This window comes from Homo sapiens, chromosome 18 (assembly GCF_000001405.40).
Source record: "Homo sapiens chromosome 18, GRCh38.p14 Primary Assembly".
Taxonomy (NCBI): Eukaryota; Metazoa; Chordata; class Mammalia; order Primates; family Hominidae; genus Homo; species Homo sapiens.
In genome coordinates, this window is record NC_000018.10 from 51,026,759 (window position 1) to 51,043,078 (window position 16,320).

Here is a 16,320-nt window from a genome sequence, read left to right on the forward strand (position 1 = left end):
CTGTAAGATCATAAAATTGAAGCAATGAAGAAGATCCTTGAGAAGAAGAAAAGGAACTGAGAGGCCAGGGTACTGGGAAGATCTTATAACCACCTACCACTAGGACAGAAGTGGCATTGGAGTGAATGTCAGGAGCAAATTGTGCAGAGATGAAGCGGGGTGAGGTCAGCGATAGAGGTATCGGACAGCAAGATTTAAAGCTGCCGGTTTAGAGGAGGAGGGGGATGACCTGGAAGCAATGTTGAGAAGCAAGAAGGAAACCTATCTCACCTCCAGGCACTAAGAAGCTGAAGGTTGAAAACACAGTTGCCGGAAGTAGTTCTGTCCTGTGGGGTTCGGCATCATGCAAGTTCCCCCTGGGCTGTTCTCTGATACAGGGCACTTGCTCCACACTCTGGGAACCCAGATTAACCAGTCTGCCCTGTCACATAGTTGAAGGAGTTGCATTTATCTTTCTGGCTCCCAATTCCTTTAAAATTACATTTGTTGCAGAACCTCCACAAGGCTAAATAAAATAAAATTACATTTGTGACCATCAGAGAACTGAAGAACTATTAACTGGCTGTTCTGGTTTTGCTGAGATCGGGCTGTTGACAGTTCCTGGTTGTCCCACAGCTACCCATGTCAGTTATCTCCACTAACATTTCCAAGAATCTTTGTAGGACAATTTCTCCACCTGCAAGGTCTTTCAAGTAAGAACTCTTCTTTCCTTTAAGGCAATTAGCCCATTGCCAAAAGGTTTTACTGTCTTAAAGCTGGAACTATCTGAGATCTAATTCCAAGGACTTTTCTACAGCTAAGTGAGATGCCTCACACCAGTATTAGGTGATTCTTCGTGAGGACAGAACAGAGCATTTTCATCTTGTGTTTAAAGCAATTTGTTGGCTTCGGCTCCTCACCACTTTCTATACCAGTCTCCCATTCACGTCCCTAGTAATGCCTATGCCAAAAAAAAAGAAAAAAAAGAAAAAGCTGACGGTGAAACCTACAGGTTTAAGGGCTTAAATCTCAACCTTTGTGTTAGGAGTAACAGGAGTGTGCTGAGAGGGCAAGCAATAAAACAAGTCATACCAAAAGGCCACATTGGTCTCTCCTAAGCCCCAATCCCACTCCACTCCTGTGGCCAGTAGTCCAAACAGAAAATAACTGGAGAAGACGAGGAGGTCAAGGATCAGGAAACTAAACGTTATGTGAATTCACCAGCAAGATGTACAGAACGCTTGCGTTTACATTGTTTTTATGGAACTAGCAGAATAAAACTGATCTATTTTAAAAATGAAAAAAAAAAAAAAACAAAAGAAAGAAAACACAGTTGCCACTACTTGAGAGGTGGAAGGAGGAGCAGTGTCCCAGGGCAAAGTTGGGTTTCCTTAAGTAAAAAGGTGAAGGGAACCTGAAGGGAAATTCTGAGAAGAGGTTGAGCTTACAGGGAATATCATTTGCATAAATAAATACATGGTGTGGTAGACTCTAAAGAGGCCCCATATGATTCCCACCTCCTGGTGTTCAAGCTTTTGTGTGTTTCCTTCCCCTTCAATGTAGGTGGCGCCTGTGATTTGCTTCTGGCCAGCAATGTATGGCAAAGGTGACAGAGTATGAGTGATACTGTGTATGTGATGATGTTACATAAGATTGAAACCAGTGTCTTGCTGAGACTCTTCCCGTTGCTGGCTTCGAAGAGGCAAGCTGCCATATTGTTAGCTTCCCTATGGAGAGCACCACATGGCAAGGAACAGAGGGGGTCTCCAGCCAACAGCCTGCAAAGGACTAAGGCCCTCAGTCCTGTAGCCTGCAAGGAACTGAATGGTGCCAACAACCACATGAACTTGGAAGCAGATCCTTTGTTCCAGCCTCACTTTGTAGAGGACCCAGCTAAGCCATGCCTGGAATCCTGACTCAGAGAATCTGTAAGATCATAAATGTTTGTTGTTTTAGGCTTCTATATTTGTGGTGAGATTGTTATACAGCAATAGGTAACTAATACAGACGGAATAGAAGAAGTTTAGTTATAACAATGTCTCAATTTCTTAAAAACTTCTTCTGAGGTATATTACCTAAGATTCACATATTGATCTGTTACCAAATCATGTTTTGTAATCTATCAGCTGACAGATCTTCCTTCAGTTTTGTTGACAGAAAAGATTTGAAAACTATCTGACTTGAAAAATAATTTAATATCCATTCACTAAGGTCATTTACTTTCTCAGCATAGATACCGATTTTTGAATTGTCCCTTTTGGATTGCTGGGGAGGTTCTGCATTGATCCCATGCACCTTAGTAGTGGGTGAGAATTTTGACTTTCTTCTGTAAGGTGGGAGGACAGTTTTGAAAGGGGATGCTGTGTCCTCAGCTCCTTTCTCAAGCTGGGCAAGTTTAGAAAATAGAATATATAGCAATGGAAGATGTGGAAATGAATTCCCTTAAAACTGGTCTCCATAAACCCCAGGGGTAAGAGAACACCAGTTTGGAGCTTTAGGGGCTTTCTGGTCAAAGAGGGAATGGCCCAGGCGGTGATGTGGAGGATAGAATGAAGCACTGAGTATGAGTGGCGAAGGCGTACGGTGGGTGTAGAGATTTTCTGGGCGACGTGACCTAAGAAATGACTTTAGAACTGGCTAATCATTGGTTTTGGAGGGACTAAAAGTAGTTCCTGGTTGGTGAAAATAAATCATTAATGCGTTTTAAATGAAAAAGAAATGCATGCGTCTTGTAAAAAATGTGAAATAAAAGAGGCATAAAGTCAAAAGCAGAGCCTATGCCTTCCCCCACCAAACAAACAGGTAACCTAGTTAACAGGTGTGTCGTAGGATTCGAAGTTCGCCTCCAGCTCCGAGAGTGCGCCTACATCTCTTCCAACAAAATCCACTCACACTTGCAACGCCTGGCAAGGCTCTTCAATATGTGATTCCTTGACTGTCCTGTGCGTCTCTCGAGTGTAAACACCTCTGGGGCTCGTGATTCGGGGCTGCCAGAAAGAGAAGGAAGGTGCCGCCAGCGTCTGTTTCTTCCCGAAGTGAACTCCTACAACCTAGCCACCTTCTCCCCAGAGCTGTCGACTGGCTGTTGAAGGCCAATTTTTGTGCCTACGCAGGTCCTCAACACAGAACAAAACAAAAAAACAACAAAGGCCGGGCTAATAGCTATTTATAAACACTTACTGGACGCCCACTCTACGCCGAGCTCTCCCGCGCTCCTTGGATACTTTTTTGCAACGAGATGCCAATTTCCCCGGCGACCACTCCCTCAAACAGGCCTTCGCCTCCGCCCGCGCTGAGGCCCAGGCCCAGGTCCAGATTCAGAGCCGCCCGCCGGCTGGCGCTGCCCTGTAGGCGCCTGCGCAGAGCGACCCTCCCCGTCACTCGGAGCGGGAGGCGGGGGCAGCCGGGAGAAAGGAAAGCTGCGGGGGAAAAGGGCCAAACCCTGAAATTACCCGGATGTGGTCCCCGCGCGCGCATGCTCAGTGGCTTCTCGACAAGTTGGCAGCAACAACACGGCCCTGGTCGTCGTCGCCGCTGCGGTAACGGAGCGGTTTGGGTGGCGGAGCCTGCGTTCGCGCCTTCCCGCTCTCCTCGGGAGGCCCTTCCTGCTCTCCCCTAGGCTCCGCGGCCGCCCAGGGGGTGGGAGCGGGTGAGGGGAGCCAGGCGCCCAGCGAGAGAGGCCCCCCGCCGCAGGGCGGCCCGGGAGCTCGAGGCGGTCCGGCCCGCGCGGGCAGCGGCGCGGCGCTGAGGAGGGGCGGCCTGGCCGGGACGCCTCGGGGCGGGGGCCGAGGAGCTCTCCGGGCCGCCGGGGAAAGCTACGGGCCCGGTGCGTCCGCGGACCAGCAGCGCGGGAGAGCGGACTCCCCTCGCCACCGCCCGAGCCCAGGTAACCGCGCCATGTCCCCTCCCCTTCCCCCGGCCGGGCCCGCGCACCCCGCCTGTGGCTTCCCCGCCCCGGGGCGGGCTCCCGACGACGGCGGCGGCGGCGGCGGCGGCTGGGAGCGCGCGGAATCCTCTGGGAGGGCGACCGCGGCGGCCTGACGAGCCGGGCCGGGCGGGCCGGCTGAATGCCGGGCGGCGGTGCCTCGCGTCCCTCGGGCCCCCAGCTCCGCTTGCAGCTCGTGGGAGAATCAAGTTAAACTCGGACGGGACTCCTGCCGCGGCCGCCGCTCCTCTTTGTTGTTCTCAGTAGTTTCACGGTCGCCCCGGCTGAGCGCGTTGGGTCGGCTGGAATGTGTTGCCTTAGGGTCTAAGTGAAAGTTGTAAATTGTTTGTCTAAATTTATTTTCTCCAGCCAATTTCTGTTTTGTCTTTGTCCCCTACTTTCTCTTCCTAGTCTTGTCATGCCAGTTTACGCTTCTGGCTTTGATATGTTTACTTTTTGAGTACTGAGAGTGACAGCGGTATGCAGGACACATTCTTAGCACCTAACTGAACCCCTCCTTGCCCCCAATAAAACATGCTTCCTAATAAAAGACACAGCTGATCTTACTGTTAGCACTGCATGTACTGACAGTGAAATTGGTGTAGGGTGGAGGGCGGTGGCTCCATCACTTGTCCCAAACTGCTGTTAGGATTTCTCAAACTAGATTTTCAAAGACACAAGTGTGTTTAGTTAACCTGAAAGGTTTATTTGCTGGTGCAGAGGCTTTAAAAAGCCCTGTTGAAGATTGATAGCTGTTTCCCTTCAAAAACCTAAGTACGTTTGTTTTTATTTAAAAAAACACATTTATTTCCCAATTAGTTTCTTAATGCATTTAGTTTTTGCACCGTAGTTTAAGGTGGAATTGCCAGTTATTTAGGAATAATAAACACAACAGGATAATAGCGGAATTACCCTGAATTGACTTTCTGCAAACATATAATCTTAGCTAATTTTTGTTAGTAACCTTTGACTTTTGCCAGAATTAGCATCCTTCTAGTCTTAGTAGCAGCTTGGTTACTCGGGTGTTTTAAGAAGTAGGTTCACTCCTTTTTGCTGGCAAAAACCATTTAGTATCAAAAAAAAAAAAATGCGTAATTTCGTAATTAGATTTAGAACAAGGCATTTGAATAATTTTTATGGTGGATTTCATAAATTACTTTTGCCATACCCTGCAGAGACTAGATAATATATATTTCAGTTGAAATCTAGGAAGTTCTAAAATGTAACTTTTTTTTAATGCTAAGGACTTACTCTCTCTATATTGGAAAGTTCTGATATGATTAGTACATAATATTCCAAACTGTAAAATGATTAACATTTAAAAATACGGTTTTTAAAATTAGTGTTTCTTCCATAATGCTGTCATGATTTTGTTTACTTAAATGGGTTTGTTACAGAACAAATGTAATAGAGATGGACCAAGCATTTGTAATTCGGAGTAGCTTTAGGTCTAAAGACGATGGTGAATTATGTAGGTTTAAGTTGTTGGAATTAAAACTAAAAGCTTCTTTTGATAAAAGTCGTTATAACATTTTGTGACTCTATTAATAGAAGTGGCTTTTTCTTTGCTTTCCAGGTTTTTGGGCGAGTTTTAAAGAAGTATTGCATCTTCGTTTTTTTTATTTTTGAAGTGGGAGTGTATGTTTCTGTTTAGGTCACTGCCTTCATTGTAAATCTTGAGTTTAGAAAAAACCAAACTGCAAATCTGTTTTTCAGACTTAATGAAAATTTGTGCCGAGAAAGTCACTTTGAAATATTTTGGAATAAGTTTTACATGAATGATTGATCTTTTATGATAGCTTTGCTGTTTGAAGCAATTCTCCCTCTACTAGGAAGCAGCAAATCTTACTTTTAAAAACCTCTGCTTCACTTTCTTAAGCTACATTTTAGTCGAGCGATTGTGTGTGAATTCTTTTTCTGTATTCCCCTTCAGTTTTTCTTTCTCCCCGCAAATTAAGGAGCGAGAATTAACCTAATTTATGCTGCCCAGTCACACTCCAGCTCTCCCACTTGGAAGCAGTTTTTTTCTGATTGAGCCAGTGTTATAGTAACATCATTAGACACTATTCTAATTGAGGTGTGAGTTACTGAGGCCTCTGCTAGGGAGGTTAACCCTACAGAATCTGTAGGGTTCATTATATTTAAACTGCATATTTCGGCTTGTCTAAATTTTTGCCTATTTTGGTGAAAACATGTTGTTTTGTCGATGTTTAAACTTAGTTCATTTTGTCCCTCTCTAGTTCATGACTAACCATTTTTTTCATTTTTAATCCAGCGATTTTTTTAGAGTGGTTCTTTAAGCATCTTGTATTAGCCATTTCAATGGTCATTATATATGTTTGGATTTCTCTTATTTTGTTGAACTAGAAGACTGTGTGGTTACGCCCCAAAATTTTTTTTTGTCTTAAAGCCATGATGAATGGGGTGACTCTGAGGTGACCATTAATCGCGTATAAAAGTAACCTGACTAAAATGTTTTCATTGTTTTCTACAGTTAAAGGACTTACACCAGCATAACACAGCATTTTTTTTTTTTTTTTTTTTTGAGATGGAGGCTCGCTCTGTTGTCCAGGCTGGAGTGCAGAGGCGCGATCTCCACTCACTGCAAACCCCGCCTTCCGGGTTCAAGCGATTCTCCTGCGTCAGCCTCCTGAGTAGCTGGGATTACAGGCATGTGCCACCACGCTTGGCTAATTTTTGTGTTTTTAGTAGAGACGAGGTTTCGCCATGTTGGCCAGACTGGTCTTGAACAACTGACCTCAGGTGATCCGCCCGCCTTGGCCTCCCAAAGTGCTGGGATTACAGGCGTGAGCCACTGCGCCTGTCCTATAACAGCATTTAATACAGTTTTGTAAAATTATCACATTTTGGGCTTTTTGTTCAACAGTTGATGAAGTCTCAATTGTTTTAAAATGAGAAATTCAAACAGTTCACAAATATATCTAGATATATTCATTTGAGCTACTTGTAGAATGATGCTGTTTGCATATATCAAGCATATGCTTGATCATAAGTCAGATTTAGAATTTTTGGATTTTGTTTTCTCTTTCTAAAATGTGTAATTTTGGTAATGGGAAATTTGACTGAATTCCAGTTTCTCAGGAACAAGGTATTTTAGGTTGTGTCACCTTAACACTATTACCTGGTGTAATTGGCATCCGGGAACATTTGTTTTTAACTATGAGAGTGAATGAAAACTAGGGTAGTGCTTACATATGTAAAACTAAGATGGTAGGTAGTCGGATTCTTACAATTTATAAGGTTCTCATAATCTAAGCCTTGATGAGTTGCTACTGCAAATTATATTATAGATCAGATAAGTACCAAAGACCAGTTGTAAAGAGGGTCTGTTAACATTTTAATCAGTTTAAAATTGGCGGTAACAGTAAAGACCGTTCAGCCCAAAGACTGTATTTCATTATTTATATTCCAAATGAGAATTTTTTGCAGTTTGGAAAACTTGTAAATGTGTTGAATTCATCTTTTTATTGCTTTTTTACTCCCAATGTTTAGGGCAACGGTCTTTTCTTCTCTCCTGTCTCCCTCCCTCCCTCCCTTTCTCCCTTTTTCTTCTTTTTCTTCTTTTTCTTTTTTTTTTTCTGAGACGGAGTTTCGCTCTTGTCACCCAGGCTAGAGTGCAATGGTACGATTTCGGCTCACTGCAACCTCCACTTGCTGGGTTCAAGCGATTCCCCTGCCTCAGCCTCCCGAGTAGCTGAGATTACAGGCGTGCGCCACCATGCCAAGCTAATTTTTTTGTATTATTAGTAGAGGACGGGGTTTCACCATTTTGGGCAAGGCTAGTCTTGAACTCCTGACCTCAGGTGATCCACCCGCCTCAGCCTCCCAAGGTGCTGGGATTATAGGCATGAGCCACCGCGCCCAGCCTTTTTTTCCTTTTTCTTTCCATCTTGCTCAGTGCCCCAGCCTGGAGTACAGTGCTGCAATCATAGCTCACTGCAGCCTCTACCACCCAGGCTCAAGCAATCCCACTTCAGCTGCTGCGGTAGCTGGGACTACAGGCACACACCATCACACCTGTCTAATTTTTTGAAAAATTTTTGTAGAGATGGGGGTCTCTCTCTGTTGCCCAGGCTGGTCTTGAACTCTTGGGTTCAAGTGATCGTCCCACCTCGACCTCCCAAAGTGCTGGGATTAAAGGCATGAGCCACCACGCCTGGCAAGTAGTTTTCAATCTTGGCTGTACTTTTAGATCCCTTGAGGAGCTTTACAAAATACTGATACCTGAATTCTAGCCCCAGAAATTATGATTTGGTTGGTCTAGGGTGCAGCCAGGTTAGCCCTCCGCAGTGATTGAGTCATTAGGGTCCTCTGACTTTTTCTTTTGAACTGTTTCACTTGTGTTAGCTTTACATTCTTTAATACAGTGTTACACACATGTACAGTGTAGCCATCTCACACATCTAACTTAACGGGTCTTTTGAAAGTATTGCCACATTTGCTTTGCTTCTGTGTCTGTCTCTTTCTTTTCTCTCCCCCTTCCTGTCACCTATTCCTTTCTCCTCTGTTTCTTTCTTCACTTTCAGTTTATTTGAACTGTCTGGTAGTAAGTTTTAGGAAGCTGTATTTCCCATGATGAGAAGTTAGTATATCATCACTATTTTAAATAGGAAGTTGATTTTCTTTTAAAGTATATTCTCAAATGCTTACTTGTACTCCTTTTGGAGACTAATTACTTTAAGTCCCCAAGTTAGCATCTGAACTCCCTGTGGGCTTGGTCTGGTGGCTCACATCTATAATCTCAGCACTTCAGGAGGCTAAGGCAAGAGGATCACTTGAGCCCAGGATTTCAAGGCCAGCCTGGGCAACAAAGTGAGACCTCATCTCTAAAATAAATAAATAAATAAATAAATATAACTCCCAATGCAAATTGTCTTCTTAGGGCGTTAATCTACTTGGTAAACCTTACATTTTCAAGCCCCCAATTAACTAGTCACTTAACTGGTTTCTGAGAGGCAGGTTGCATTGGGCTTTTTCTGTCAGGGCTTAATTAATACACTGTGAGACATTTGCTCAGCTAGGCCAGCTAGCTAGTACTTCTGTAGAGATCATCTAGGGCATGTTCAGCTCTCCATTTACATCACCTGAAGTAGTTCCCAAGTGCTGGGCTATGGAGTAGTTTCATCTCTGTCTCTGGAAGAGCTATTTAAAAAAATAAAAATATTTTTTCCCATCTGATTGCAACACACATGCTGCTTCAGAATGGGAATGGAGTGGAGGAGGCATGGGAATCTGTGTTATTTTTAAAAAGTGCCTCTTGATTCTAAAGGTTTTGTTTATTTTGGTATGCTTATCCTTACTGCTTTATTTATCTATTTTTTAGAGACAGGTTGCCCAGGATGGAGTGCAGTAACATCATCATAGCCCTCTATAACCTTCAACTTCTGGGTTCAAGAGATCTTGCCTCAGCCTCCAGAGTAGCTAGGACTACAGGCCGGCACCACCACGCCTGGCTGATTTTTTTAAAACTGTTTTGTAGAAATGGGGGGGCGGGGGTCTTGCTTTGTTGCCCAGGCTAGCCAAATCTTATTTATGATTTAAAACTAGGAATGCTACCGAATATATATTTTTATAGTAAGGTATTATTTCTGTATGTTAATATGGATGAATGTATGCTACTCAGGTCTTTTCAAGTCAAAATGTATTTCTAAATATAAGATGAATTAAGGATATTTGTCAGTGATATTCACTAGTGAATTCTAGAGCATATGTTATCAGTAGATGGGCAGTCCTTGTAAAAATTGAATAATCTAGTGAAAGGATGACCGGAAATAATATTTAATGGGGTAAGCTAAGCCAGGAATCATTGTACATAAACACATTAGGTGTGTCTTACATCATAAATATGCCTACTAAAACTAGTTGAAGGAAGAATGTGTATAGATGCTGAAATAATGAAGGGGCTGGCTAATTGTAAGGAAAAATGATACAACTTCTATATAATTAGTCTTTTTAATCAGTTGCATATACTCATGATACTTAATTTGTAAAGTAAAGATTGTAGACTAGATCAATGCTTTGTAAAACTAACAGTACCTCAGACTTCCAGAGTGTTTTTTAAAGGTACAGCCCCACCCTTGATTCTAGTTAGTGGAGCTGGCCTAACCTGCGGGGGATTTTGATACATCCCCCTTTGAAGGAATAAGCTAGATGACTTGAAACTCTGCTTCAGTTAAAAGTTTTATGAAATGAGGCCGGGTGCGGTGACTCACGCCTGTAATCTCAGCACTTTGGGAGGCCAAGGGGGGTGCGGATTACCTGAGGTCAGGAGTTTGAGACCAGCCTGACCAACATGGTGAAACCCCGTCTCTACTAAAAATACAAAAATTCATTGGGCATGGTGGCACATGCCTGTAATCCCAGCTACTCACATGCCTGTAATCCCAGCTTCTTGGGAGGCTGAGGCAAGAGAATTGCTTGAGCCTGGGAGACAGAGGTTGCAGTGAGCTGAGATTGTGCCACTGCACTCCAGCCTAGCTGACAGAGCGAGACTGTCTCAAAAAAACAAAAAAAGTTTTATAAAATGTATTTTTCAGTTATCAGTTATTAAAATTCAGTTTGGTTTCCACCATCTTTTAAAACAGTGGTTCCCAAAGTATGGTCCACAGACTCCTGGAGATCCCTAGGATCCTTATATTTAAGGGGTTCACAAAATCAAAATTATTTTCATAATGAAACTGAGACGTTATTTGCCCTTTCACTGTGAGGACATTTGTATGGGTGGTGAAGGAGCAGTGGTGGGTAAACTGCTGGCACTTTAAAATGACTCTAGGCAGTTATACCAAACATATGAGTCCTCATTGTGTTCTTTATAGTCAAACACACATAAGCATTTGAAAAAATGCCGGTTTCACTTAATAATCCCCTTGCTGCAGCAGTAAAAAGGTTTAATTTTAAAAAAATCTCTACCTTGGAGTATGTCTTTTTAATAGTGTGATTAAATGGGAAGTATGCATAAAGCATTTCTGCACATTGAAGTACAGTGTTCTTTTCTAGGAAAAGCACTTGTGTTATTGAGCTGCAAGCTGAACTAGCTGCTTTTTAGTGGGACACCATTTTTATTTTTATTTAACAGGATGACAGATAAGCTCAGATAGCTATTTAGATTTGAGTATTTGGCAGGTAATTCCTTGGAAATGAATAAAGTGAGCTGGCCACTTCGAGGAGAACATTTATAGCCAGTGCTAAAATCTGATGTTTCAAGTGAAAATCAGATTTTTGGGAAACTCCTGTCACTATGACTTGCCAGTTTCTTAATACTTAAAGACTTTTCTGATGAGATGGGTGGTGATATTAAGGAATGTGATTAAAAAAAATATGTTGGGCTGGGCACGATGATGCACACCCATATTTCTAGCACTGTGGGAGGCGGAGGTGGGAGAATTGCTTTTGGCCAAGAGTTCGAGACCCTGTTTCTACAATAACATATAAAAATTAGGTGTAGTGGCATGTAGTTCTAGCTGCTCAGGAGGGTGAGGTGAGAAGATTGCTTCAGCCAGGGAGTTCAAGGCTGGATTAAGCTAGGATCGCACCACTGCACTCGGGCCTAGGCTACAGAGCGAGACTGTGGGGGGGGGGGCAGTATGAGGAAGTGTGTCAACACTGGGAAGATCTGTGTAACTCATTGAACCAATATTTTCCCAAATGACCAATTCATGTTACAAAATCGTGCATGGGTAGGCGATCCGTTCAAAGTACAACATAGACAAATGGATTTTTATATACACCAGAGCCAAAAAGTTCACTGATACAGTGAATTCCACATTGCAACTAACCTTTCAGAATTGCCACTTGAGTTTTGGTGTTGAATAAAAGATGAATATCCATTGTTTTCTGAGAAGGCTGTTAAAATACTCCTCTCTTCCAATTAGCTGTCCATGTGAGACACGTTTTCTTCATGTACTTTAAACAAAACAACATATCATAGCAGATTGAATGCAGAAGCAGATATGGGAATCCAGCTGTCTCCTATTAAGCTAGGCATTAAGAGAAATTTGTGAAGATGTAAAACAGTGTTACTCTGATTCCTGACTTTGTTTTAGAAAATTCTGTTTTTCATAAGATGTTTATATTAACGTAATGGGTTTATTATTTTAAATGAATTAATAAAGCAAATACCAAAAATTTTAGTAGTTTTATTTATTTATAATATGATAAATATCAATGTATATAGCCCGCATAAAAGCTATTTGGTGTCTTTAATAATGAAGAGTATAAATAAAGGTCCAACTTGGCCAACATGACGAAACCCTTTCTCTACTAAACATACAAAAATTAGCTGGGCATGGTGGTACATGTCTGTAATCCCAGCTACTTGGGAGGCTGAGGCACGAGAATCACTTGAACCTGGGAGGCGGAGGTTGCAGAGAGCTGAGAACATGCCTCTGCAGTCCAGCCTGGGCAACAGACTGAGACTATGTCTCAGAAAAAGAATATGAATAAAGGGATCCTGAGATCAGAGAGTTTGACAGCTGCTGTTTTAAAGTAACTATTTCTATGCATTATCGACTAAATTACTGATTGATTGAATTGTTTTTATGGTTTGTACTATATTGCTGTTATTTCTAAGGACGTTAGTCATTCAGTTTCTGTTCAGTTATCAGGGAACATGTAAGAGTCAGACTTAAGTAAAAAGGGGAATTCATTGGCTTGGTCTGGAGATAGAGCTGACCTCAGATTGCTATATCCAGGGTTTCAAGCAGCATCACCAGGACTCTTGACTTTGCTTTCTTTCTGTTTCTCAGGTAGTTTGCAGGCTAACTATCCCCAGCTTCAAGGAAGCATGAAGAGGGCCTTCCCCCCCCCACCCCCCCACCCCCCCACCCCCCGTAGTTCCATCGGAAGTGCTAGAGCTATGTCACTTGCCTGCCTTGCGTTCTTTTTCATCAGAAACAACACTGTGGCCAGGGGGTGGCTCTGGTTAGTCTGGGAATTGTCCCACCTGGCCAGATGGGGAGATTCTCCTTGGAAAATCAGACTGCTGTTTTACAAATGGAGAAATACATGCTGGTACACAAAAACTGATGTCCACCTATAGTACTTTGTTATTTCTTCTTTTAACAGCCTTTAATTTATTAATCCAAAAAGGGTAATTTTTAAATAAGATCATTTAAACTGAAGGTGGCATACCAAAATGACATTTAAGACACATAGGTAAACAAGAAGCATACATCTCGATTTGTCCTTTGTCATTCATCTTAAAAGTTAAAAAAAAACTTTTTGTTGCTTTTATTGCTGTATAAATGTGCTCTTGGAAGTTCGCCAACTGCCCTCAGTTTGAAGAACCTCAACTTGCTGTCTAGGATTTAGTCTTTAGCTTGTGCTGCAGACAGTTGCACTAACCGTGAACACCTTTTTTTCCTGTTGGTAAACCTAAGTTTAGAGTTTATTCCTAGTAATAACATTGATATATTACCAGGCCCAGCTTTTTTCTCCTCCCCTAGTTAAATTTAAGCACTTTTGCGCCGGGCATGGTGGCTCATACCTGTAATCCAGCACTTTGGGAGGCCAAGGCGGGCAGATCATGAGGTCAGGAGATCGAGACCATCCTGGCCAACGTGGTGAAACTTGTCTCTGCTAATAATACAAAAATTAGCTGGGCATGGTGATGCGCCCCTGTAGTCCCAGCTACTGGGGAGGCTGAGGCAGGAGAATCGCTTGAACCCAGGAGGCAGAAGTGGCAGTGAGCCAAGATGGCACCACTGCACTCCAGCCTGGGCCACAGTGAAACTCTGTCTCAAAAAAAAAAAAAAATTTTAAGCACTTTTCTCAAATATTCCCATAGTAAGTAGTTTATTGATCACTGATCAAAACACTTACAACTTCTAGAAAATACATGTTTGACACATATAATACAGTTAATTCAAAAGTAAACTAACATCTGAGAAAAAATGTCAACACTCCTTACCTAAAATACATGAATTTACATGAGAACCTCTCTCTGGCCAGTATTCAGCCTGTTTAATTTTAGAGAGTATCTTAATTAGTTTGGTTATTTGGCTTTCTCGTCCATTTATTAGTATACCTATGGTCAACGTCAGGTGACAGCTTACAATTAATAGCAAGGCTAGAGGAAAAACAACAGGCAGATAACAAGAATCAGCTGTCTCTTCTTGCTAACTCTTTACCTCTCATAACTCTTGACTGCATCTAATACCTGTATATGTTAGTGCCTTTCAGATAGGCCTAACTTCTCATCTCTTCAAACTCAAGATATCTAAAGCTGAATTTGTTACATACCTGCTTTTAAATTTTTTAATCATTGAGTTATCTAGAAATGGGTCGTCTTTTATTTGTCCCCCCTTTTTCACCCTTCATATTTCAGTTGGTTAAAGACTCCAGTCTTTTCTACCTAGAAATAGCTCACTGATTTCCCCCTCCCCTCCTTGGCCCATTGCCCATGCCCCAGTCTAGGATCTTACCGCTTTTCTGGTAATTGTTTCCTAACTGGTTTTCTATTTCCTTTTCCAAAGCTGTTCTCCAGGCTCTCACTGAAGTTTTCTAATACAAATCTAATGCTGTTTTTTCTCCTCTTTCTACCATGAACCTACTCTAGACAAAGCTCTTATCCGTCTCTGCTTTTCCTCATCATTTTCCTTCAGCCTGGCAAATTCTTATTCGTATGTGGTAATCCATTAATACTATTCTACCAATATTCTGATGGCTGTCCCCTGGCACATGGTAGTATTGTGCTTCTTTGTCTCCCTCATCCCTACCTTGAAATTAGGCATGGCCCAGAGTTTCTTGCATTGGCACTGTTGACATTTTAGGCTGGATAATTTATTTTGCGTGTTGTCCAGTGCATTGCAGGGTATTTAGCAGCAACCATGGCCTTTAGCCACCAGATGCCCAGTAGTATCCAGTTGTGACCATATATTGCCTCCAGATGTTGCCAAGTGTCCCCTGAGGGACAAAGTTGCCCCTGGTTGAGAACTCCTGGCATGGCCTTATGACTTTGGCCAGTCAAACATGAGCAGAAGTGGTAGCCTTTAAAAGAAGATATATGAGCTGTCCTATCCCTTCTCCTGCCATTTAAGGACATATGTAGAAATGGAGCCTTTGTCAGTCTAATTTCTGAGCGATGACAGCAGTGCCCCCAGTTGATCTGTGATGAATGTGTATTATATCCTAAGCAGAAAATAAGCTTTTGTTTTAAGCTACTGATCTTTTGGGGGTTGGTTGTCACTGCAGCATAGACTAGCCAATCCTGACTGATACGTTGTGCCAAGACCTAGGTTACCTATGAACTTTCCATGCTCCCTCATTTATAGTCCCAAATCACTTTATACCTACTTCTTTTAGCATTTATTACTTATGTAATAATATGTTTGGGTCTTCCAGATTAGTAGTTCTCAGTGGAGTAAGTACTGCTCTTTAAGGGATGTTGTAGAAATTTGTGGATGGGTTTGGTGGATTGGTGGCCAGGGATGCCATCCTGCAATGTGAGAGACAGCGAATAATTATCTTGCATCCCACAAGACTTTCAGATGCCCCAGAAATTCATGTAGGAGGAAAATATAATTAGCCCAGAACCTAACTCTATAATATATATTCACTTTGCCAGGAGTTAAATTTCTTTTAATTCATTTTTTTCTTGCCTGCCTGCCTCCCTCCCTCCTTCCCTCCCTCCCTCCCTCCCTCCCTCCCTCTCTCCCTCTCTCTTTCTCTCTGTTTTCTTTCTTTTTCCTTCCTCCCTCCCTGCCTCCCTCCCTTACTTCAGGCTCTGTTACCCAGGCTGGAGTGCAGTGGCGTGATCTTGGCTCACTGCAACCTCTGCCTCCCAGGCTCAAGCCGTCCTCCCACCTCAGCCTTCTGAGTAGCTGGGACTATAGGCATGTGCCACCATGCCCCACTAATTTTTTGTATTTTTTGTAGAGAGGAGGTCTCACTTTGTTGCCAGGCTGGTCCTGGCAACCGTGCCTTTGTTGCCAGGCTGGTCCTGAGCTTAAGTGATCCAACCATGTCGGCCTCTTAAAGTGCTGGGATTACAGGCATGAGCCACTGTACCCGGACTTGGTTGTTTTGTTTTTTATTTTTGAGACCAAATCTTACTCTGTCACTTGGGCTGGAGTGCAGTGGCTCAGTCATAGCTCACCGTAGCCTTGGTCTCCTGGGCTCAAGCAGTCCTCCTGCCCCAGCCTCTTGTTAATTCATTTTCTTAGTTCAAGTTGTTTAAGAGTTCACCATTTGGGAAAATCCATGTTACTGACTGCAGTGCCATTGTGCTATTTGAGTTGCCAGTATAACACGTTTGTCTTGGAAGGTCTGAATTTGTAGCTGTCACATTTGTAATGATTCTGTATATAAGTGCTAGCATCTAACTTCTTTATTATACATTCTAACTTAGTTGGCATGCCTGAGTATTTATAGGTGGAAGTACACATTATATATTAAGC

General features: G+C 42.7%; 1 protein-coding gene and 1 long non-coding RNA gene across 7 annotated transcripts in view, besides 5 other annotated features; one reads left to right on the forward strand and one right to left on the reverse strand.

Moving 5' to 3' along the window:
* The window catches only part of LOC107985152 (uncharacterized), a 55,307-nt gene extending 51,971 nt beyond the window's left edge, over window positions 1-3,336 (reverse strand). The window contains exon 1 of the long non-coding RNA XR_007066370.1: window positions 3,160-3,336. This is a non-coding gene — a long non-coding RNA (uncharacterized LOC107985152). The remainder of the gene's footprint in view (window positions 1-3,159) is intronic.
* Window positions 1,305-1,404: an enhancer, noted in NCBI's record as "active region_13324". NCBI's record gives its function as "activates an Ori minimal core promoter by ATAC-STARR-seq in GM12878 lymphoblastoid cells {active_cell/tissue: GM12878}" and the evidence as "EXISTENCE:reporter gene assay evidence [ECO:0000049][PMID:35858748]".
* Window positions 3,040-3,209: an enhancer, noted in NCBI's record as "active region_13325". NCBI's record gives its function as "activates an Ori minimal core promoter by ATAC-STARR-seq in GM12878 lymphoblastoid cells {active_cell/tissue: GM12878}" and the evidence as "EXISTENCE:reporter gene assay evidence [ECO:0000049][PMID:35858748]".
* Window positions 3,040-4,069: a biological region, named in NCBI's record as "H3K27ac hESC enhancer GRCh37_chr18:48556194-48556812".
* Window positions 3,066-3,684: an enhancer, noted in NCBI's record as "H3K27ac hESC enhancer chr18:48556194-48556812 (GRCh37/hg19 assembly coordinates)". NCBI's record gives its function as "activates a minimal SCP1, AML or CMV promoter by ChIP-STARR-seq in primed H9 embryonic stem cells {active_cell/tissue: H9 hESC(primed)}" and the evidence as "EXISTENCE:reporter gene assay evidence [ECO:0000049][PMID:30033119]".
* SMAD4 (SMAD family member 4) overlaps window positions 3,455-16,320 on the forward strand; it is a 54,830-nt gene continuing 41,964 nt past the window's right edge. For 4 of the 6 annotated variants that reach the window (NR_176265.1, NR_176264.1, NM_005359.6 and 1 more), the window contains exon 1: window positions 3,455-3,865. The gene's annotated coding sequence lies outside the window, so the exon portion shown is untranslated. The remainder of the gene's footprint in view (window positions 3,866-16,320) is intronic. The other 2 variants (NM_001407042.1, NM_001407041.1) reach the window with 1 other exon arrangement.
* Window positions 3,490-4,069: a silencer, noted in NCBI's record as "silent region_9461". NCBI's record gives its function as "represses an Ori minimal core promoter by ATAC-STARR-seq in GM12878 lymphoblastoid cells {active_cell/tissue: GM12878}" and the evidence as "EXISTENCE:reporter gene assay evidence [ECO:0000049][PMID:35858748]".